At 35.9% G+C, this 23488-nt stretch overlaps 1 protein-coding gene across 53 annotated transcripts in view, besides 1 other annotated feature; it reads right to left on the bottom strand.

Moving 5' to 3' along the window:
* The window catches only part of THRB (thyroid hormone receptor beta), a 378556-nt gene that overhangs the window by 290056 nt on the left and 65012 nt on the right, over positions 1 to 23488 (bottom strand). Inside the window, exon 1 of one of the 53 annotated variants that reach the window (XM_024453737.2) lies at positions 1 to 22056. This exon is cut by the window's left edge and continues 14206 nt beyond it. The exons of the other annotated variants lie outside the window; for them this stretch is intronic. The gene's annotated coding sequence lies outside the window, so the exon portion shown is untranslated. Of the gene's footprint in view, positions 22057 to 23488 lie in introns of those variants that run through there. 53 annotated transcript variants of the gene reach the window in all.
* Positions 12990 to 13284: a silencer, noted in NCBI's record as "tiled region #12793; K562 Repressive DNase matched - State 8:EnhW". NCBI's record gives its function as "represses a minimal TATA promoter and a strong SV40 promoter by Sharpr-MPRA in K562 cells {active_cell/tissue: K562}" and the evidence as "EXISTENCE:reporter gene assay evidence [ECO:0000049][PMID:27701403]".

The raw sequence follows: 23488 nt of genomic DNA on the forward strand, positions 1-23488 counted from the left end.
GCCCTGGAGAAATGTCCCTCAGGAATACGACCCTTTGCTGATTCCATGTACATGTCAACTTTCTGTTTATGAATTCCGCAATTGCTGCTGATCCTGGGAAAGGTTGTGGGAGGTGCCTAGATCCACAGATTGCAAACATTTTTTTTTCCGGTAAGAAATATCACCCATATATTTTCATGCGCGATTCATTCCCAAACATATTTTCAGGGGATGTGTATATAATACCAGACCTACCAGCTGACACTGCACTTCTTTATGATTTGCAATTCTAGTGAGTTAGTGTGACATTTTTAAAAGGATAATTTCAAATCCATTTTAATTTGTAAAAGAATGAAATAATTAGCTGATTTCAGTACTTTGAACATTAGAAACAAATTGCATACAAGAGACCTTGCTGCTCATGGCAACCTATTCATATGAATCTAGACCCTCTTACTGGGTCATTGAGAACTGTTGCGTTGGATAATCTCAAAGGCATTTTCATTCTATGAACTGATGTGCCATTTTGTCTCTTTGTAACTTCCTAGCATGGTATAGGAGGATTTCTTAGAGGAGTTATCATTTGGCCACCATTTACTTTTCTCTTTACTCTTGTCTATTAGCCAAGGTACCAAAGGATACAGAAATAATTGTAATTCTCATCTTTGGTGAAATTTGCTAGTGACGATCAACTGCTCTATCTTGAGCACTCATGAGGGAATTCATGGATAAAATATATCGAAAATATTTGACTCATAAACAAGTTATTCGTATGAATGAGGTCCATCTTTAAAGTTATGCCTTTTCATATGATTAAAAAGTATGCCATCTTTTAAAAAGTACAGCTAGAAATAAATATTAAAAGGAGAAAATGAATACAATAAACATTCTGTCAGATTGAACAACTGAATTTGCTAATACTATTTTTTGATGAATGATAGACATATTTTGATCTATAGGGCAGAAACCATCAAATACCAGCAGTTTTATCTAACATGTCTCAACCATTAAAGGTTTGTCAGCTTATTTTCTCTTAGAAGTGAATAGAAATATATCCATCAATTTACCAATGACAAGAAAATCAGACTGAAACAAATTGGTCTTATTTTTCACTCAATTATTCAGACATAACGCTCTGAGAAGGGAGTAACATTTGTTTCATGATTTGCTGTCATTTGGCTTCTCTTCCTGCATCAGAATGAATGAAACAATATTGTACCATTCTGCTGTTGTGATCACACCAAATTTCGACATATGTTTAGTATTTGGCTCTAAGTGCCACTATGTCACCAGGTTCACACTTGGATCCATACTTGAGTACAAGTGTGAGCACGTGCATGAGCATGTGTGTGAGCTGGTATGCAATCATATTTGGACATTTGTTTCCTGCTAACAGAAACCCAAGCATATGTTTGAGACCAAAGCTTTCCTTTTTGACAGATTTTCTGTGATTAGATGCATTAAGAAATACAATCAGCATTAAAAATTAAAGGAGGTGTGTATTTGTAAACATCAACTGTGATTATGGCAAAGACCTTTACATCAACTAAAATGTGTCTGCTGGAGTCACAATCCAACCAACAAGACACATTTTCATTTACTTTATAACACAGTTCAAATCATTACAGAAGAAAAAAAATCCTTTCCATAAAAAAATAAAAATGGTGAAATAACACAGGGCTTATTTGAACATTAAACTATACTCTATAAAAATGTCAGCCTAACTGGATTACTTCCATCAATGCTGCAAAAATGGAATCAGCAAATGAGATTTTGATGGTGGCAGTTGAAAAAAATTTTTTTGGTATTTCATTCTTATGGTTTATGAGGTTACTAAAACCCTCAATGTAATTACAGTTTGACACTTTCTATCATTTTTTATTTATAGTCTTCTAAAGGAAGTGGTGGAAATTCCATTCTTCAAAACATCAGTGAACATGTTTTAGGTACCCGAAATGTCATAGGGAGTGAAATACGATGACTCAAAACATGAACCAATCCCTGACTACAGATTTAAACGCATGAAAACTAAAGATAAAGGCCCCACTGTAAGTTAAATTTGCACAGACAGGCTCCACTCTATAGGAGTCTTGGTTTGGTTGATATGAAAGATATTTGGGTATCATTTTTATTTGTTTTAAATCAAGTATGATGAACAAATAAAATTATGTTATTATTGGAAATAAAAAATAATGCAAACCCTTTGTGATAATGACTTCTGGGAGGCAATATAGCATAGCAGTTAAGAATATGGGCTCTGGATTCATACAGAACTAAGTCACATTCTGGCTCTGTCATGTGTTAGTATCAGCTGTATTATCCTGGGCCTCTGACTAACTTCTACCCCTCAGTTTCCTTAGCTGTACAAGGAGAATTACAGTAGCTAGTGTATGCCATATGGCCACTGTAAAATTAAATGAATTAAATGAACTAATCCATGAAAGTGCTTAGCACAGTGCCTGACACACAGAAACACTTGAAAAATATTAGGATTTTTAAAAAGAGGAGAACATCATGCATTTTGAAACAAGAGATTCTGAACACAATACTAACAAACAAGCAGTTGGGAAAATGTGGTACCCATGCAGCTACAACTGTAGAAAATAATGTAAAAAATACCCCTGAAAGCCAGGATTCCATATGTTCCTGAACTCACTGGGTAAGAAACAGTCCATGGAAATATCTGTAGACATTCCTGCATTCAAGGCTCAATCTGTCTGGTTTACCTATTGCTATTCATTCAGATTATTTCAATGTGTTAAGCAGACCTTTGATGAGGTGAGGTAAATGCCAATTTCTAAAAGCTATTTTCTCCATAGGCTATGAAAGTTGATTGCATTTTGATGAATACATTTTGAATAGAAGAGCCTGAAACTGAATATCTATTCATTACCAGAATATACTACCAACACTGCTGGTAAAATTCCTATGCCTTTCTTGATAAGCCAGAAGAAAAATTTAGAAAGCAGTGAGAAAGGAAAATCATTAGAAAAATAATATTAACCTCCAGAAGCTCCCTACTGGGAAAATGTGGCTTGGGATTGGATGAGTATGATCAAAATTCAAAGACCAGGGGTAAATAGAAAGAAGCAAATGTGTCTTCATTCTGAAATTGAGACTATAAACCAAATTGGCCTAGTTTCATGGGTCTCCATTGAATTCCATGCAGTAGGTCAGCAGCAAAAATGCAAATATTCCAAAAGCAGAATTGAGTACAATCTTTGGAATAAAAAATAGATGCAGAGAGCCGTATTTCCAAGGTGGCTACATTTTGTATAACACATACATTAATATTAGGAAAATTTGTCCCAGGGATCCCTGTAAATACCCCTTTGACAATAAAAAACAAATTTTAAATGCAAGTAAAATTCAGTCTCCATTTCAACACTTATACAAGTCTTCCCATTTCAATGAAGAAAATTACCTGATGAGCCATTATATTTACATAATGGCAGGCAAATTTATGCTCATTTGACCCATTCCTTTAAGTGAACTATTAGGAAATAATTTCATGAGTGGACAAAATGTACTTACTTCAAATGCATGGTTAATACTGCAAATTCAAAAGCAAAGTAAAAGTTATTTAAATACCTTCTAAAACTGCAGCTATCCTATTTGTTAATTCACAACAAAATTTTTAACAAAAAAGTCTTTGCCTGAATGATCTATGTTGGCTATAAAGGGAGCTCTGATTTAGAGAGTACTCTTCATTATGTGTTTCTGCAGTGAATTGGTGTAGGAATATAATGCGGATGGTTCATCATCATCAAAGAGATATGACCTTTACTTGTCCAGGCTAAATGGTCCTGGGAGTGCTGAGTCGGCAACATTCTCTGTTCTCCTCTTTCTTTTGACCATTGGCTGAGTGTGGTGGCTGGGGTTAGCAGTGCAGTCTGCTGCTGTGAAGCTGGCTTTTTCTTCTGTGAAGCTAATTGAAACTGCAACATTGGCCTCATTATCATCTTGTAAAACCCCTCTGAGCTAACTGGCTCAGACAGCCATGGTTATATGCTAAAGTCAAAGGCAAGATGATTCATAGAATGACGGTCTTAAAATTTGGGCCATTTTCTCAATATCAAAAAATATTAGATTAAAATTCAGGGCATAATTCATTTGCATGTACCAATATGGTTATCAAATCGACAACTTTTCAAATTTACCATCAACATAGGTTAAGTAGGGACAGGTGAGCCAAAAGAGATCTCTGAGATGTTTTACTTTGAGCAATCATAATGTCACTGTTCTTACTATGGTCATATTTAAATCACATGGCAAAGCAGAATGCCCTGGGGTTAATTTTTGTGAGCCCAATGATAGTGGACCATTGTGCAATTAATTGGAAGGCTCGAGATCTACCCTGATTGTATTACTAATATTATAAATAATAATAATAAATGAATAAAAGTTAAATTTATTACGCTACATGCTGCCTGACTACTTTTATCTGAATCAATAACTCTCAGTGGGGACAGTTTTGTCCCACAAGAGACATTTGGCAATACCTGGGAACATTTTTTGGTTGTCACACTAGGGGTGGGGATGGGGATGGAGAAAGAGGATGGTGCTACTGGAAACTAGTGGGGGATGTTACTAAGCATCCTACAATGTGTAGGATACAACAGAGAATTATTTAACCCCATATATCAACAGTGCCAAGGTTGAGAAACCCTGATCTAAATAACCAAATCAGAATGCAGGGATCTGATCAGCTGAGTAGCATCGGGTCATTACTGTGGCTGAGGGAGAAAGAAATCAGCACCCTGAAAGAGTTTGTGTCAAATCAAGTTTTCAGGACGTTTCTAAATACAGTATATTATTTAGCAATGAATTTGGAGATAGGATAGGTGCAGGAGAGGGAAAGATATAAACATGACATGTACAGAGTACTCCATTATGAGTTATTAAAAAATATTAGTGCTAATTTATAGCAATAAAGGCTGATATTAATTATTGGCAAGATAATCCATATGCTAGCTAATTTGCTTTTATAACATGGATGACAGCATTTTATTTAAACAAAAGTCTTATCTGATTTAGAGACAAATGAGAACTTCATGACCTGATTTGCTTATATATTAAAACATAGCTTAAAATTTCAATAATTTTAGTCTCTCATATTGGCCAAAAATAGATAGATGTGATAAAATACATGTCTTCCAAATAAACCCCAGTTTATATGAGAAGCTTTAAAAAATTACAAAGAAGTCATCACAAATCAACAGTAAAGAGATGGATTACTCAATAATAATGATTTTGAGATAACTGTTTAGGAGCTTGGGAAAAGTTTGGAAAAAGTTATCTCACTTCTCTTCATGTATCAAAATAAAAGTACAGATGGATTAAAGAGTTACCAAACAAAGCTAGGAGAAAATTAAATGCACTGGCTCTCCAAATATAGGAAGATTTTCTCATATTCTCCTACTGTGTCAAGTGGGAGAAATACAAAGGAAAACCTCAGTAAAGCATCCCAACATAAATGAAAAGGGATATTTACATTTGTCCAAACTCCAAATTATCAAATTATCACAAATTATCAAATTCAAGAGCAAACCACCAACTCAGAAAAACATTTACGGCACAAATTTAAAAGTCACTATTTTTACAATTTAAAGTTCATACAAGATTATTAAGATATTTTTAAAAAGCATTAGCCAATAGATAATTGGTCAGAGGACACAGAAAATTTTAAAAATGAATAATATTCCATTTAAAATATGTGAGAAAAAAATCTAATTGTATTAATGCTCTAGGAAATACAAATTTAAATAATATACCATTTTCCACTTATCAATTTACCAAAAAAAACTTTAAATACAAAGGAGCAGTTAAAGAGGCTTTCTTACATTATAGGTGGATTGTAAGTTGGTACAACCCTCTGGCCCACTGAACTCACTTCTAAAAATTAAGGAGGAAACAATCTCAAAATATGGAAGAACAGCTTTATACACAAAAATGTTTACTGCAATATTATTTTAAATAGTCAATTTCTTATGTTCAACAATAGTTGAAGTGATCATTGTGATGCATCCAGCAAATGTTAAGGACCATTTGAAAAGATATTTGCAAAGAATTTTAATAAAATGAAAACATTCTTGTGTTACAATATGAGGTTAAAAAGTTGCTCAGGATAGGTGTAGTGGGCTGAAGGGTGGTCTCCCCAAAAATATGTCCACATTCTAATCCTCTTCAAAGAATTCTATATGGTAAATTCTTTGGGGATTAAAAAAAGGGAGAATATGTTTATATTTAAGTATTGGCAGCAGCATTTGCCACATATATTTAGAAAAATAAAGAAATCCAAATGCCACTCAATAACAGTCTTAATATTCACAATTGAAATTAAAAACATTGACCTATTAACTTTTTTTTTCTTTTTCATCTCTGATTTTTTTTATGATACTTTAAGTTCTAGGGTACGTGTACACAACGTGCAGGTTTGTTACATATGTATACATGTGCCATGTTGGTGTGCTGCACCCATTAACTCATCATTTACATTAGGTATACCTCCTAATGCTATCCCTCCCCCATCCCCGACCCCACGACAGGCCCCAGTGTGTGATGTTCCCCACCCTGTGTCCAAGTGTTCTCGTTGTTCAATTCCCACCTATGAGTGAGAACATACCCCATGGAATAGTATGCAGCCATAAAAAAGGATGAGTTCATATCCTTTGTATGAAGGATGGATGAAGCTGGAAACCATCATTCTGAGCAAACTATCGCAAGGACAGAAAACCAATTACCTATTAATTCTACAAAACAGGAAAGATAAAGATCACACAAGTTTGTTACTGTTAATTGAGCGTGACTCCATATTTTAAAAATTGGACCTCCATAGTATATTTGCATTTTCAGTTATGTTTCAAATAGATATATAGAGAGTAGCAATTCACTTGTATAAGCAAATGGAAACAGTGCATTCCATCAACTTCACCCTAATAGCAATGGCACTGGTGCAAAGAGGGAATTCAGGAAAGACATTGCATAACTGAAACATAATATGCAGCCATGAAAACACATCTTTTTAAAGAGAAAAGTCTGTTTGCAAGAACAAAAATCTGACTGTGAATTCTTTATATTAATTCAGAAGATGGTAAATAATCACTCCCAGTGTTAAGCATGTCAAATTTACTTGACAAAGTCAATTCGGCAGAAGCCCAAAGTTAATGGTAAGAACGTATTTATTGGTTCTCCTTCCTGAGTCCTTCCAGGCATGTTAAATAAACAGAACATATCTATGTGTTAAAAGCTCTACAATACAATCAAGGGAAAATATGCTTAAACACTTGTGTGATAATTCAGGCCAAAAAAAAAGTTAAGTAAAATATTTTCCTTAGCCATCCGGACATAGCCAAATTACAAGATATTTTTAAAAATATACAAACAAAAATATTGCCGCTTCAGGATATGCTTCAATGTTCCCAGAGAATTCAGTTTTGAATTTTGTCTTTTAGAATACCGAAATCTGCAACAGCCACGTAATTCCTATACTAAATGATCACTTAAAGGGGTAAAATATAAAACATCTCTTCAGCTGTATTCTGGAGAGAGATGCATTATATTAGGAGGAAAATAAAGAAAAACAAATATTTGCATGAATACTGTATTATTAGTAACCTTAACAAATGGTACCCATTCTGGTAGAAAAAGTGATTTCCTAGAAAATCTGTCTATTTTCTAATAAATAAAATGTCTAAAATGAAACGGCATTAGCTGAAACTCATCTCTAAAAGGCTCAAGTTAATGTGTTCAAAAACACAGTATTTTCCATGGCATTTTTGGTGGGCAAGTTTCCACCGGTCTTTCAAGTTTCTGCACATCTTGTGAATAGAGGTTCTGACTGCCTTTGTTCCAGAGTAGCTTTCCAAAAATGTATACTGAAGAAACTTGAAGGGTAGAGACAGTCTCTTGCTGCATCAAAGGCAAGGCATACTTAAACATCCCATTATAAAAGATTCAGGTTTGGTAAGCTCAGGGTCCCTTCCAGTAATGCAACTTGCTGCATGTACAGGTGTTCCCTGGATCTCTGTGCATTACCTTGTGGGAATTGGGACTCAGGGAACAGGCATAGGAAAATGCTGATACTCCAGCTACTGCTATTGCTGTGACTAACAAACTCTCCTTCATATCTGATCCAAGAATATCATTCTTTCTGCCATCATTTATGAAATGAGATAAGCTAATTTGTTAGCTTGCAAACAGGGTAAAAATCTTATCAGGCAAGAGTCCATAAGGAATCTATCCCCTTTTGATTTTGCAGGATTGACTCTACAATAAATTTAGTGCTCTCTAATCAAGTTAACTGTTTCTGCCTAGTTTTGGATAAATACTTGTTTTTATTTCAAAGGAAAAGGCATGGTTGTCAACACCACAGAAGCTACTTTTGTTAAGGACTGTTACTGAACAATTTTTTAATGAATTCAACGGCACATGTAGTTGAGAAAAAAAATATTTCAAGAAATCCAAACTATAAGGTATTAAAGGACTGCCATTCTCAAAGAACCATAAAAATAATTATTTATTTCAAATTAAGGGATTCCAGCAGTCTGGAACAATGGTAGTAGAATTATAGAGTTCAAACATTATTCAAGTATCTTGTGCCTTTTTGCTATGGAAATACTGAATGGCTAGTATCCTAACTTAGTGAACTTACTGAGTTGATACAGATCCAGACAGACTCAGTTGATACTTAATAAGTGAACTCTATTGGATTTTGTATGACGGACCCAGTTAATGCTTAATGACTTTAGTTTCTGAACCACTAATCTAGACTCATGATCCAACAAGTATGAATATGTATTCATGGTGCTCATGGAATGGAAATTTGAAATCCAAACTATTTCAGAAGAGTTGTTACATAATATAATTATGTTGTATATTCAAGAGTGCAATTGTGAAATTTCACGTCAATGACCTTGAGGCAAATAAAAAGTATGTTAATAATACTGCCTTATATAAACGTACTTTTAATTTTTTTTCCCCTAAGTGCTTTCATATGGAGTCAAGGACCTGTAAGGAGTAGATACAACAAAAGACACAGGGATACAAGTTTAGAAGAAGAGATACTTGAATCCAGAGTAGCCAGTATCCGCTATCAGGAAGGCACACAGAATAGAATACAGTAGCCAGTAGAAGCGTTCTCCAGGGCAATATGTGTAAATGGCTCGCTGATGGGATGAAGATATCTTCAAGGGCTCCAAGTGACTCCTAAACTTCACTGGGAGCTGCTTTTCAGGAACTGTACTTGTAGGATGAAGTACTAATGAACAGTAAAGGGGATTAAAAAGGAGGAACAAGGGCAAGAATCTGTTTGCTTTCCTTGGAGTCTGTCCAATGCATAAAGCGCTCTATTTATAAAAGACTAATCCAGTTGTTTAATAGGTGCTGCTTTTGGTTTCATATAGGATTCTCCCTTCAGAACAGTCTATTCCTCTGCTCCAATTCTGTATTAATCGAGCAACCTATTAACCTCGTTCTATCCCTGAATGAACCTTTCAGGCTAGAAGGGATAAAATGCAGTTTCTGAAATTCTGATACTTAGAGCACTTGGATCAGAGTCACTTTGGGCTGCTAAAAATGCAGATTTCTAGGCCCTGCTCCAGACTCACAGAATCAATCTCCTAAGGTGAGCCCAGGAATCTGCACTGTAAAAAGCTCCCCAGTTGGATAATGGGCTGAATTTTGAGACTCAATAGACTAGATAGAGTTTATTTCTAACTGCTTTGCTTTAGACGTTAATGTTTGTGAACATGGACTCAATTTGTCCAATAATTCTCTTTATATAAGAAAGCAGATATTTCTTTTGTGTCAGAAAGAAAAGTAGCTTTTACAGGCTCAAAAGGCAGCTTTTAAATATATATTTCATTTATGCATATTTATCCTCCATTGACTCATGAAATTTTAAACCAACACACACACACACACACACACACACACACACACACACACACACGCGCAACGCGTTATGACTGCTTTATCTGACTGGATGCCCCCCTATTAGTAAAGCACATTTTCTACAGCTGTTTAAGAGTGAATTCATTAAATACATATAATTGTGTATTTATGCAAGTAGGCTTGAGAGAACACGCTAATAATGTAAAATAAATAAGAAAGGCCAGGCTGTCAGTGCCACAATACACTGTTCCTGTCTGGGCTTCTAATTCCAGAACTCCCACAAACAGTACTTAAGTCTTTGACTTCTTAATTTTAAAATATCATTGAAGATAAGAAACTTAGGAAACAGTTTCCAACTACTGTGTTTGCAAGATATGTCACTAGGGATTTAGTTATTTCTTTATCAAGGACCTTTTAGGACGATTGATGTATGATGACCTTGGAATGTGCCTTCTCTAATGATATCTCATCATCACTGATATAATGTTAGCGTATTAGTAAGTCTAGGGTTAATAAGGCATTCCTCAGGTATAAGCAACTGAGCCTTGGTGAACTTCGCACACGCTCTCATAAGAAAATGATTCCACATTGGAATAACTATATTGATTAGCTATACTTCAAAAGAGAAAGTCATTCTAGCTTTGACTTCTCTCCCACAAATGTCATTGAGAGCTTGTCGCATGCCAGCACTTTATATTTGTTTTCCTTCTTAATTCTCATCACCACTTGTGCCACTGGTTGAGTAAGTTCTATCCTTATCCAGATTCACAAATGAGGAAACGGGGATTTAGAGGAATTAAGTAATTCAGTCATTACCTGTAATCAGTCAGAGGACTAGTCAAGTGGCAGAGTCACATTCAAACCCAGGTTGCCAGGCCAAAAGCCTATGTGCTTTCAACAATACTGTCCTTCTCTCATGTGACTATTTGTTTGAGTTGGAGTACCTCTTCTAAGGCCTTCTAAATACTTCTCATAATCTTTTTTCCTTCCCTCCTCCTCCCATATCAACTTAGTGTTGTTTAATTATCTCCCAGAAGATGACCCTTGCTTAAAGTCGATTCTACCTTTCAACCTTTCAGCTCTTGTTATAGCAGTCTGCAACCCTGTTCCCCTTTCATGGTTTGCACATTCATGTGCACATTCACATGTCAAGGGTATAGGGATTAAAAAAAAAAAAACCTGTATTTCTGTAACCTTGCCTAGTGTTACTTGGTTGAATAAGCTATGACCATAAGACTTTTAAAAGACTTTTTTTTTTTGTCCTTAAGCTTGGTTTATCTAGGTCCCAAGTTTTGTTTATGTAGACCTCCACCCCCACTTAACACTGAAGAATTTATTTAATCAAACTATTTGTATTTTACAAACCCCTACTGAATTCCAACACCATTTGAAAACTGGTGCTCATTCCTAGTTTAGATTATGATATGGTAAATGAAAATATTGCCGATTTAAAAAATATAATTTTTCTTACCCAGTCTTATAAAGCAATGGTTCTCCCACTTCACATGCACACCTTCATCCCCAATCACTAAGGACATTTGTGAAAATGCAGATTCCTAGGCCTTACCCTCCAAAGATGTTGTAAATAAGTAGGGTGAGGCCCAGGAATCTGTAGTTTAACAGAGCTTATTATGTAATTCTAATACAAATATTCTGTGATCCACATGCTAAGAAATCAACAGAAATATAAATGTTTTTCATGTACATAGGGCAATGCCCTCAATTAGCTGGAAACTTCTTAGCTAACTTTTGGGACTACATTTTTTTCCTCATAGGTACAACAAATTTAACACTTACAGTAATGGCTGTTCAGTCATCCCACAAATATTTCTGGAAAGACTACCTTAATCTAGGAATGGTGAATATCTAATAGACGAGATATGAGGCACATCTATCACCCCCCATACCTGCAGTGCCCATGACAGACATCACTAATAAATCATGGGCATTCTTGTCAGCTCAGCATAGACCCATGACTGTGAAACCACTCCTAATCAATCTTAGAGCAATAGCTAGGACATGGCCACTGGGTCTTTGCCCATAGGGCATCGAGATAAAAAGAAAGCAAAAGAAATTGAGAAATATTGGGAATATTGGCAAAATTTAGAGCTTTCTCCTTTCCTCCCTTCTCACTGAGTACCCTGTACTATCTCTGCAGCTTGGTGGCAGGCTCAATGCTATCCCAGGTCAGCGACCCTAGCTACTGGAGGCAGACAGCTAAAGGCCCATGGACAGGTGAGAAAATTGGCCAAGCAAAGAACTTTCAGGGTATTGAGATAAAAGATCCCTCCTCTATTCTCATTCCTATCCTTCCTCTTACTTAAGGACCTCTCTCCAGATGGAAAGCCAATCTAGGCTTCCTGCCCTGGGCATTAAAAAATTCTATTTAGGGTTCATTTATGATAAAAACCTTTTTACTATGGCTTTGGATCTTCCCCTTTTGATTCCTATTTGAGACTCAGAGAAGCCAAATGACTTAGCCAAGGTTATCTAAAGTTAAAAATAGAATTCAGTTCTCTGGACTCCGAGTTCATTGCTCTGCAGAGATTTAAGAACCTTGATGCAATCTGCAATTAGCTTATAAAAATAACATTGCATAGTCCTTTGTCCAGTAATTCTGAAATAACTTGGTCATATTTATATATCACATCTTCTATCTTTGAGAATCTTTCATTAGGTCTGTCTCAACCAGAAATAAGTTTTGCAGACAGCAACTCTACATTATTGTAAACTATATGCCTTTAATAATATTTAATGTATTTCTGCAGAGGTAGAAAATTGCCTCATTATAATACCCCCAGGAAGAGTAGGTATTTATTATCTCAACCATGGCACAGTCTGGAGGGGTTAAAAGAATAAGAGCACTGAAGGCCCTGAATCGAGGCTCCACCTCTTCCCAGCTGTGTAACCGATGCAAGTTACTTGGCCTCTCTGAGAACCTGTTTATCTATAAAGCGATGAACTTATTTATCTTGCAGAGTTTTCCTAGAAGTGAAATTAGTTAATGGGTATAAAAATGACATAAATTTATGCCTGGCATGTCATAGTGCTTAGCAAATGTTAGCTCCTTCTTTCTTTTTCTCTTACACATGTTACCTCAGTGTCTCCCAGGACCAGCAATATTTGTGAGGTCCAGTGAAAAACAAAAATATGGGGCCATTTGCTCAGAAGCAATTAAGGACTTCAAGATGGAACCAGCAGAGCAGTCAACTCAGCATGGGGCCCTTTTGAAGAACTACCCAGGACACATGTCCACGTAGTCCAGCCCTGGCGGTGGGATTATCTCTGGAATGAATGCTCTCTAATCTTCTCTGTGGCTTTGTTTAGTCAGTGCTGAAGTTCATGGTGAGCACTTGAAGTAGCAGCACAGGGTGAGAAGTGTGTTAGATTCAACCTCAGCTATTCTACTTTCTATGAAACTTCCACACCTCAGAAACCTCTTTAAAAAGTGAGCAAAGGACATGAACAGACATTTTTCAAAAGGAGACATACATATGGCCAACAAGCATATGAAAAAAAGCTCAACATCACTGATCATTAGAGAAATTCAAAACGAAACCACAATGAGACACCATCTCACACCTGTCAGAATGGCTATTATTAAAAAGTCAAAAAATAACTGATGCTGGCAAGGTTGCAGAGTAAAAGGAACACATGCACTGTCGGTGGGAATGTAAATTACTACAACCATTGTGGAAGAAATTGTGGTGATTTCCCAAAGACCTAAAAACAGAAATACCACTCAACTCAGCAATTCTATCACTAGGTATATACCAGAAGGAATATAAATCATTCTGTCATAAAGACACATGCACATGTATGTTCATTGCAGCACTATTCACAATAGCAAAGACATGAAATCAACCTAAATGCCCATCAATCATAGACTGGAAAAAGAAAACGTGGTACATATACACCATGGAATACTATGCAGCCATAAAAAAGAATGAGGTCATATCTTTTGCAGGAAGATGGATGGAGCTGGAGGCTATTATCCTTAGCAAACTAAGGCAGGAATGGAAAATCAAATACTTGATGTCTGACTTATAAGTGGGAGCTAAATGATGAGAGCATGTGGACACATAGAGGGGAACAATAGACAGTGGGCCTATTGGAGGGTGTAGGGTGGGAGGATGGAGAGGATCAGGAAAAATAACTAATGGGTACTAGGCTTACTACCTGGGTGATGAAATAATCTTTACAACAAACCCCCGTGGCAGAAGTTTACCTATGTAATAAACCTGCACATGTACCCCTGAACCTAAAATAAAAGTCACATTAAAAAAAAAAAACCTCTTTAAGGCTTGTAGGAGTCTAATAATAACACTTTCTTCATAGGGCTCTGGTGTAGGTGAAAAGAGATTAAAGCAGGAAAAAGTACTAACCCAGGGCCCTAGCACTGAGGACTTATGTGTTGGCTGTCATTATAGTGTCTTTCTTGTCTTTCTTTCCCTTATACATCTCCCAAGTCTTCAGGCTTTACTAATCCAATAGGTTGTATGTATGACAGTTTCCACAGGACGTGCCACCCAGGACCCTGCCAAGGCACCCATGCCCAGAGAGAAAAGCATGCAAAATGGACAGAATCTCCATCATTGATTATTTTAATGCATGGACACTTCAGAACTAAGCATAGTGAATTGCCTTTATTACAACATAAAATGATGATGATGCTATTAATGAAATTAATGGAAGTAAAATATCTGTAGCTTGTAGTGGCAATTTGTTTTCTAATATATTTGCATCATCATCTCATTTAATGATCCCTTCCTCTAAAGCACCCTGTCTGCAGATTACGTTATCATCTCCATTTTACAGGTGAAGAGATGAAGTTTCCAAGACATTTAGTGATTTGCTCCAAGGCGCATGCTAATCTGATTCCTAGTCTAGTGTTCCTTTTTCCCCATCAACAAGAATGTGGTTAAAGTAGCATTTATGTGTCTGTCTCATCTATTCCTGTGCATAATTGCTTTACTACTTCAACCAACAATGACTATACAAATAATTTCATGTAGTTTTCAAAAACAAAGGGAAATTGGACAAAGTAGTAAATAACTCATTTTACATTTAAATAGGCTTGAGGAGCTTGGGAAAAATGTTAAAGTTTGAGATTCTATCTAATTGTTCACAAAGCCTGTGCTATGTTATCACAGTTTCCATTAAAAGTGGTCATTTGAGAAACTTAGTATCCTGGATGGATAATCTCCCAGAGTAAAAGACCCACTAAGAAGGAATTGTGGTCATCTGGACTTGGGACATGTATTTCATTGGTGCAATAATTATGGGAGAGTTGTCATTTTCCAACCCTGTTTTGGAGGTGGAGGTGAGTGGAAAAAGCCATGTCAGCCCTGCACTGCCTGCCTCTGAACTTTACATGAGGAAAATAAACTCCCTTTTACTTCCCTTTATTTTGGATTTCTGATATTCCCAGCTAAGTCTAATCCTGATACAGCCACTCTCCTCAATTTCCTCCTCAGATGAAAGCTTAGATTTCCATTTCTGGCAAAATGGGAGCTAAAAGACAGATGTGCGTGGCGAATGTGCATTCACTTTTTTCAGCTGCTGCTGAAGATTCTTCACCTCCCTGGCCTCTGCTGAACTTACTTGTGGGGACATGACCATATTGGTGGTTCTACTCTGGAAAGTTCAGGCCTTACATCAACCTCCTCCAGAATCCAACAATGAAGGGGTGACATAGAAAATAATCTCCAAAGATGGCCACCATCAATTTTTTCCTTCCCTATATGCACATGCCACCCCCTCTTGAAAAGAGGGGTCTATTTCTCCTCCCTTTTAAATCTAGGGTAGCCATGTAACTTTGACCAACAGAATGTGGAGGAAGTGATGTTCTGGATCTTGGGACTTCTTATCCCCAGGCTTGAGAGAGGACTGGAAGTTTCCTTTTTGAAGCCAGCTTCTGTGTAAAGGGCTGACTAACCTAAAACCACCAAGCTGTGAGAAAGCCAAAACTAGCTACGCAGTGGGCCACATGAGAAGCACCAGCTCACCATATAACTAAGTAAGTCCTTCTTGGGGCTTCTATCACAGCCCAGCCACCAGCAGAATAAGCCTGAGTCGGTGACCCCCAATCAATGACCAATGAAGCAAAACCTGCCTGGCCAATCCTACCTGAAGTCCTGACCCATAGAATTGTAAGAAGTAATAAATCATCATTATCTGAAGCCACTAAGTTTTGGGATGGTTTGTTATATAACAATAGATAACTGAAGTAGATGGGGAAGGATGAGAGAACACTTCTGAGGTAAAGAAAGGGAGAATTGGTGAGAAAACCCTACTCTGCTGTCAGTTTCTCCTGGCTCCCAGTCTCCCAGCACTGAGATTTTTTTTTTTTAAAGTGGAAAGCACAACTATTATTTCCATAGACAAGTAAACTCTGCATTCCCAAGAATTAATCTACAATGCAAATTTGAAACACAACTTGTTCAGAAGGTGGCAACTTATTCAATGCCCTTCAACACTCATTCTTGACATACATGTGATGTTGAGCGCCACTGTTCATTTATGTGTCAGACTAATGCCTTATATGTGAAGCAGACATGAATATCAGGTTAGTCCTGAGCAATTCCAAGGACAGCAATAGTACTATACAATTGTCTGTGTACTATATCTGGTGTAACATGATTATGGGTAATTATGTTAATCAGTACTTTTTATGGCCATCTATTTATTGAATTTGGTTTCTTTCTAAAAGAAAAAATGAATACCAAGGTATATATGATCTACTGAAAACCTTTACTTATTTCACCACAAAAGGTTCTCAGAGGAAAATTCTCTGTTCCAACCCAGCAGAAGACAAGATATTTAAATAGAGAAATTTTTATAAACGTGCTTTCCAGGGACATATTAAGCATGTCAATGGAGAATCATTTTACTAAACTATCTGCTTGGTTACTGAGAATCATCAAAGCATTTATAGTTCAGTTAACTTAAGAAGAGGACTTCAGTTTTTTAATTTCTGAAATTAGTACAGCTTTTTAATTTCTGAAATAAATATTAGAATAGTAGCTTGAAAGGGTTTTGGTGGACAAAAGTTTTCAACCATGATTGGCTGCTAGAAGCATTTGGAATCCTTTCATTCCCGCCCGTCTACCCACCCTCCGCCCACCTTCCAGAGGTTTCAGTTAATTGTTCTGGGGCGGACATCAGGCAACAGGATTTTAAAAAAATACTCCATAGGATTCTAATACCTAGCTAAGACCGAAAACATTGTTGAAAGAGTGTGGGCTTTGAAATAATCCCTAGGATTGAATTCCAAGCATCAATAGTTTTATAACCGAGGCAAATGGCAAAGCCATGGTAAGTTTCTATGGCAGTGGTTCTCAAAGTGGGGTTCCTTAGTAAGCAGCATTGGCAATATCTGGAGAACTTACTGGAAATGAAAATTCTTTGGTTCCACCCAGACCTACTGAATCAGAAAGTCTAGGGTAGGGGGTGGGGCCCAGCCTCCAGGTGATCCTGCCACAGGCTACAGTTTGAGAAGTACTGTGCTACATGATAAGAATTATAAGGGCTGACTCCATGTACCTTCACTGTTCCTCAATATCTACATAAATTTTCACAGCCTAGAATTCTTCTCTCTCTCCTTGTCAAGGTATCTTGTTTTTTAAAAAATTGTAAAAGCCTAGTAGCAAAACTTCAAAAAAGTAAATGCATTGTTTTATTTCTGATTCTTTAATTCACTTTTATTGTGTTTTAATTAGAAAAGCAGAAAGAATAAAAAACTCCTACTTTGCAATGTTATTAACATTTGATATAAATTTGGTTTTTACAAGAAAAGATCAAATTTTGCATACTGTTAAATAAACTTCTTAATCTTCTATTTCACACACTGCATCTTTTACATGCTACTATTTAATATAATATTTGTACATATCAACATATCATATTTTTGGTGTAGACTTATATTCCATTATATAAATATGCCATAATTTATTTAATCCATCCTTTATCAGTTGATTATAATTTTTGATTTTATAAATAATGTTCCTATTAATTATTTTAAAATTGTTTACATCCATGATGCCATTCTTGGGATCAGTTTTCAAGATGTGGTATTGCTGGATCAAAGCATACAGTGGCTAGTGATGCACGTTGACAAATTGTCCTTAAAAAAAACTGCACCCTTAGCAAGGGATGAGAATGCCAATTCTTTTGTACCACAGTTCTTGCTATATATTACTAGTTTGTTTAATCTTTGTCAATTTAATACAAGGATGACTTCATAGGGTTTTTCTTTAATGAAGTTAAATCTTTTTGCCATTGTGTTTTTGTTTAATGCCTATTTGTATTTCTTTATTCTCATTATTTGTCCATTTTTAAAAAAATGTGAGTACGCACCTTTTTTTCCTATTGAATTGTAAATGCTCCTTATATATTAAGGATTACTTTTACCAACAATTGGAGGTAAGAAAAATATCATAAATACTCAATTGAGTAATATCAGAATGAGTTAATTTCAATTTATTATTAATAAGAACTATAAATAATTTGGTTGGATTACACTATTGCAAATCTGGCAACAATCAGTATCCATTTTCCTTTCCTAGGCCTGAGCTATGCTGAACAAAATTTAGTCCTTCTCTGATTATTAGAGATCTTGTGGTGCCTATGGGGGATTATTCTAAATTTTCCATTGTGCAAAGAGAATGAGACACAGAAAGCCCAAGTCCTGGCTCTACAGGCTACCAGTTGGACAACCTAGACTGGGGCAAGTAATTTAACCTCTCAGTGCTTTGGTTTCCTCATCTTTCAAACAGAAATAACAAAAATAACCTCTACCTCATATGATGACTATGAGAAACGATAAGTGTAAGAGTTAAGCACACAGATTTCAGAGCCTTTCTGGATTTGAATTCCCACTCTACCATTTAATAGCTATTGTCTTGGCAAAGTTCTTAATCCCTCTGGTCCTTACTTTCTTTACCTGTATAATGATGAAAATAATATAACTTACCTATCAGGGTGGTTGTAAGGATTAAATAAGTAAAACCTATTTACCTACCTATCTATCTATGTGTCTATCTATCCATGATACCTGTTCACCTGTCATCCATATAGCTACCTATCGATAATCTATCTGGCATTTAGAAGAGTAGCTGGCAGGTAATAAGCACAGTAATCATTATAATTAAATAAAATAACTTTATGTTATGTCCTTTCTTAACCACAGTCCCTCACAAATGTCACTGGTAGGGACTATAACTGCTATAGGGGCCACCACAATATTGGTAGTTATATAAAATTGGGTTGAATCTCTACCAAACCCAGGACATACTCTGGAAATGAGTTTCTGAATAAGGCTCCAGCATCAACTTGCTTTTTTGGTGATTCACCTCATTTTATTAAATGTGAAGGGCAGGAAAACCAATCTGGCTTTTGTTAGCTGAATAATGACTGCAAAGCTAGCCATGTGAATCGATTTTTTTGCTTCCATCCTAGAAACCCACCTTCAGCAGACAAGCCATAAAAATAGTGTACCCGAGATGCTCTAAGACAGGTTTATGTCGTTTCCTCTCACAAAGCAGAACACTGAATTGATTTTTAGATTAATTGTCTATAGCTGGGTTAACTAAATTCTGTGTTCTCTGATTCATGCTCTGTACTAGCTCACAAGAAAATTTTTGGTCTTAACACTTAATATGAATCATAATTAATGCAAAAGATAATTAAAAGAATCTCTCAGCATTTTGGTCATTTTATCAGATGAAACTCCCACTTTTATCCCCATGATTTACACTGTATAAAAGAAAATATACCCATATGGAATACGCTTGTGAATCAAAAACAAAGCCAGTGCCCAAAATACAAATCAAAAACACTGTCTAGAACAACAGGCTTCAACTAATGAATTAAAATGATTGCTGGTTTCTTTAAAATATTAAGCTCATCGATGCTTGCCAAAAACCCCTTGGCTAGCTGAGGGATTCAAACTGCATTGTTCAGCTAGAGTTTGAAATCCTTCCATTCATCATTGACATGTGAGAGACAAGACAAGGTTTTTGACAAAAAGGGGATGAGGCGCCAGATGGTTTCCATCTGTATCTCCATTGATTGTACAATGAAAACCCACCTTCCCTAATCAGAAGGCTGTGCCATACATGGAAAATGAATACCCAGTGTTTTTAAAGAAGCACAATCACCCCTTCCCAACCATAGATGTATAAATATTAATGAACACAATCTGGTTCTAAGCAAATTTAGCATGAACTTTTAGCAACCCTCCCTTGACAACTTCCTCTCTTTTTAACTGAATTAAGCTTCTAAGTTCTGTGATTAAAAATAGCAAACCCTGCACTGAAGTTGGATCTGTGACTGAGGTAAACCTCTCCCTTCCAGCTAGTAACCAGTTAACGTAGCTCATATGATTGTGTGCTTTTTATAACCAAAAAAGGGTCTTAATTTGAATGGATGCTTAGCAAATATGAATAGTGAGATATAGAATCCATACAAATAAGCAGAAAATTGATAAATTAACCTATCATTTATGCCATGACTATTTCCAAAACTACTTGAGCAAATTTAGAGATTATTACACACAATATTGAGATAGTTGTTAAATAACTTTATTTCTGTAAAACCCTGTAGTACATCATATATTGACTCATATTTTAACTTTCCTGTAAGCTAATAGAGAGTATTAAGACAGTTTTAATAACTAATGTTAAAAAGAAAATAGTAGATTCCTTTCTTGGATGTTTGAACTTGAATCATAGTATCACAGTATCTTTAACCAAGAAGATTTGGTTAGTCTTATTCTTTCTTGATTCACTTCCTGAGGTTTTCCTTGAAATATCAGAAGAGACTTAGATTTGAAAATTTCCATTAATTCCTTCCTTTGTTTCTTTTCTTTTTAGTTCAAACTAGGAAGGTTTGCATACTTGCTCCAGCTTATGTGCCTTTAATCTGTTGAAGCAATGCATTTTCCAAGAAGCATATTCCATGTTTTCACCACTAATGGTTCCCTGTGGATCAAAGTGGTAAGTCTTTAAAGTAAAATATATCAAATCAGTCCAAAGATAATATGAAAAATTAAATCCATATACTAAGCTTCAGTCTTCATGTGACTGGAAGGAATTAATCTTTTTCCTCTCCTACAACATGCATTGTCCTCCTGCTGTCAATAAACAAAATATTATTGAGTACCTACTATGTGCCTGGCATTAAGCTAAGCACTGAACATTGACACATTGGACAGTGTTGCTATTCTCAGGCACAGATGCTATTTCAGAGCCATCCTACAGAGATTGGCTAAAGAATGTTCTTTGCTGTATGATAGCAACATTGTGCACAGAGCTCATATGTATTTCCATTGCAAGTGATCAAGCCTGTCTCTTAGCCCCCATTTGCCTTTTGGGAATAAGCGCTCAGTGGAACTTGCCAGTGTTACCAGCAGTGTTGCTGTTTGTTTAAGGTTCAGTTTCACCAGGTGGTGGCAAGTTTTTAAAACTCTTCCTAGCCCAATTTGTTTGTCAGCATCATGATCAGATATCAGGATAACATCAATAAAGCAGGAGCAAAAGATGAGCTAAAGCTGCAGAGAAAATGCTGAGCTTATCAAAATGCGTTTTTGGTTATGTTCGAGGCAAGAAGAACAGGAAAGGCTAGACCCACAGCTTGAGCCAGATGGTGCAATGTTAGCATTAGACAAAGAGGAAGAGAAACAATGTCTCTCCTTGTTTCTTTTGTAATTTTCATCAAGAAGAATACTCTCCAAACTGCAAAAAAGATACCTTAAATGGTTCATTTTAGTAGGAAACTGAAAAAATAAGAAGATTGAAGGTAAGCCAAAAAAAAAAAAAAGTAAGCACATATATATGTTTAAGTCTCTAGGCTCAGATGCATTGGATCTTCAGAAATAATGGGAAAAAACAAACAAGCAATAAATAATTGTTTTGATATATAAGAAAATTAAATTTTTTCTTGATTATCAAAAGAAGGAGCTGGGGCAGTGAGGGGAGAAACGTAGGTTTGGAAAACAATATCCCATAAAATAGCCATAAAACCCCTAATTCTATAAGTTACATTTTAATACATGGTTTATGAGTACTATTAAAAGAAAATTATGAGGTATTCAAGAAGAGGTAGCACAGAGTTGGGGAGGAGACATAAATATGTGATATATGATATGTGGTATTTGACATATATACTATATGTTATATTACATATACATATATATCAATATATTAAATATATTCACCTTGATATATATATGTAATATAACATATATTATATGTAAGTTATATGCATATATGCAAGGTTGCATCATATCCCTATTTCAGCAAGGTATTTGACAAAGTCTTACAAGATATCCTCAGGGTAAGACTGTAGAATATGGCATGAATGACAAAGAATGAATGAATGAATTGGACAATAGTTAATTAATTAATCAATGTCACTTGAGGAAATGGTATGTAGAAATCTCCCATTGAGCTCTGTCCTGTCAAAAAATTTATTGATTTGGGTGAAGACGAGAGAATTATCATCACAATTGAATGGTTGTAGATAGTTGACATAATCATGTTTCAAAATGAATCTGAACAAATGGGCAAAAACAAATCAGATGGAATTTATTTGTGTAATTATTTTTGTAGAGACAGGGCCTTACTATGTTGCCCAGGCTGATCTTAAACTCCTGGCCTCAAAGTGATCCTCCTGCCTCGGCCTTCCAAAGTGCTGTGCTGGGATTACAGGCATGAGCCACTGTGCCCGGACTCAGATGAAATTTACAGAAGAAACTATAAAGTACTGCACTGAATATCCAAAACTTAGTTAGAAATTACAGGATGCAGGGTTTGGGGAGACAGGATGACAGCAGTTTAAAATAAAAAATTTAAGTTGACAGAGTGGTATGGTGGCAAAGTTGAAAAAAAAATTGTCAGTAGGATCTTAGAGAAAGAGTAACAGAACATGTTTGTCCTCTTCACTCCCATTATTCACTGTCATCCTGGTGATGATGAGGACTATATCATGTACTAGCAAGTGCTATAAGGAGAAATTACCATGAGCAAGAAGTGGCCCTGTTAGTGACCCATTGTGGAGTTTATCAGGATGATCCTCAGGAACTGGCTGACCTGGGACATAAGCAAAGTATGAAATGAAATATCCAGGATCCTTAGAGGAAGTCTAAAGAATAGAAAACAAAAGAGAGAAAGTAAATCAAGCATGAGGTATGGAAATAGAAATAGACAAAGTGTTCCATGACATAGACCAAAAGCAGCTTCATATGTGAAAGCTTCATTTATGAGAGGCTTTGCATTGAAGATCAAAGGGGAACTCATAGACTGCTCAGTAAGTTATGCTAGCACAATTGTTTTTCATATGAGAAAAATGGAATCAGATCCCTACCTCATGCCATATAACACAAGAATCCATTCCAGATGAAATATATGCTTAAACGTAAAGACAACATTTTTAAAGAATATAAATTTATTACCACTGAACTCTATACCTAAAATGCTAAAGATAGTGAGTTATATGTGTATATATTTACTTCAGTGAAATCTTTAAAAAAGACATTTAAGTACTAAAAGAAAGAAAGAAAATATAGACTAGAAAGAAGAGAATTTCTTAAGAAAAGTTGAAAAATTACTAACCA

This window comes from Homo sapiens, chromosome 3 (genome assembly GCF_000001405.40).
Source record: "Homo sapiens chromosome 3, GRCh38.p14 Primary Assembly".
NCBI classification, from domain to species: Eukaryota; Metazoa; Chordata; class Mammalia; order Primates; family Hominidae; genus Homo; species Homo sapiens.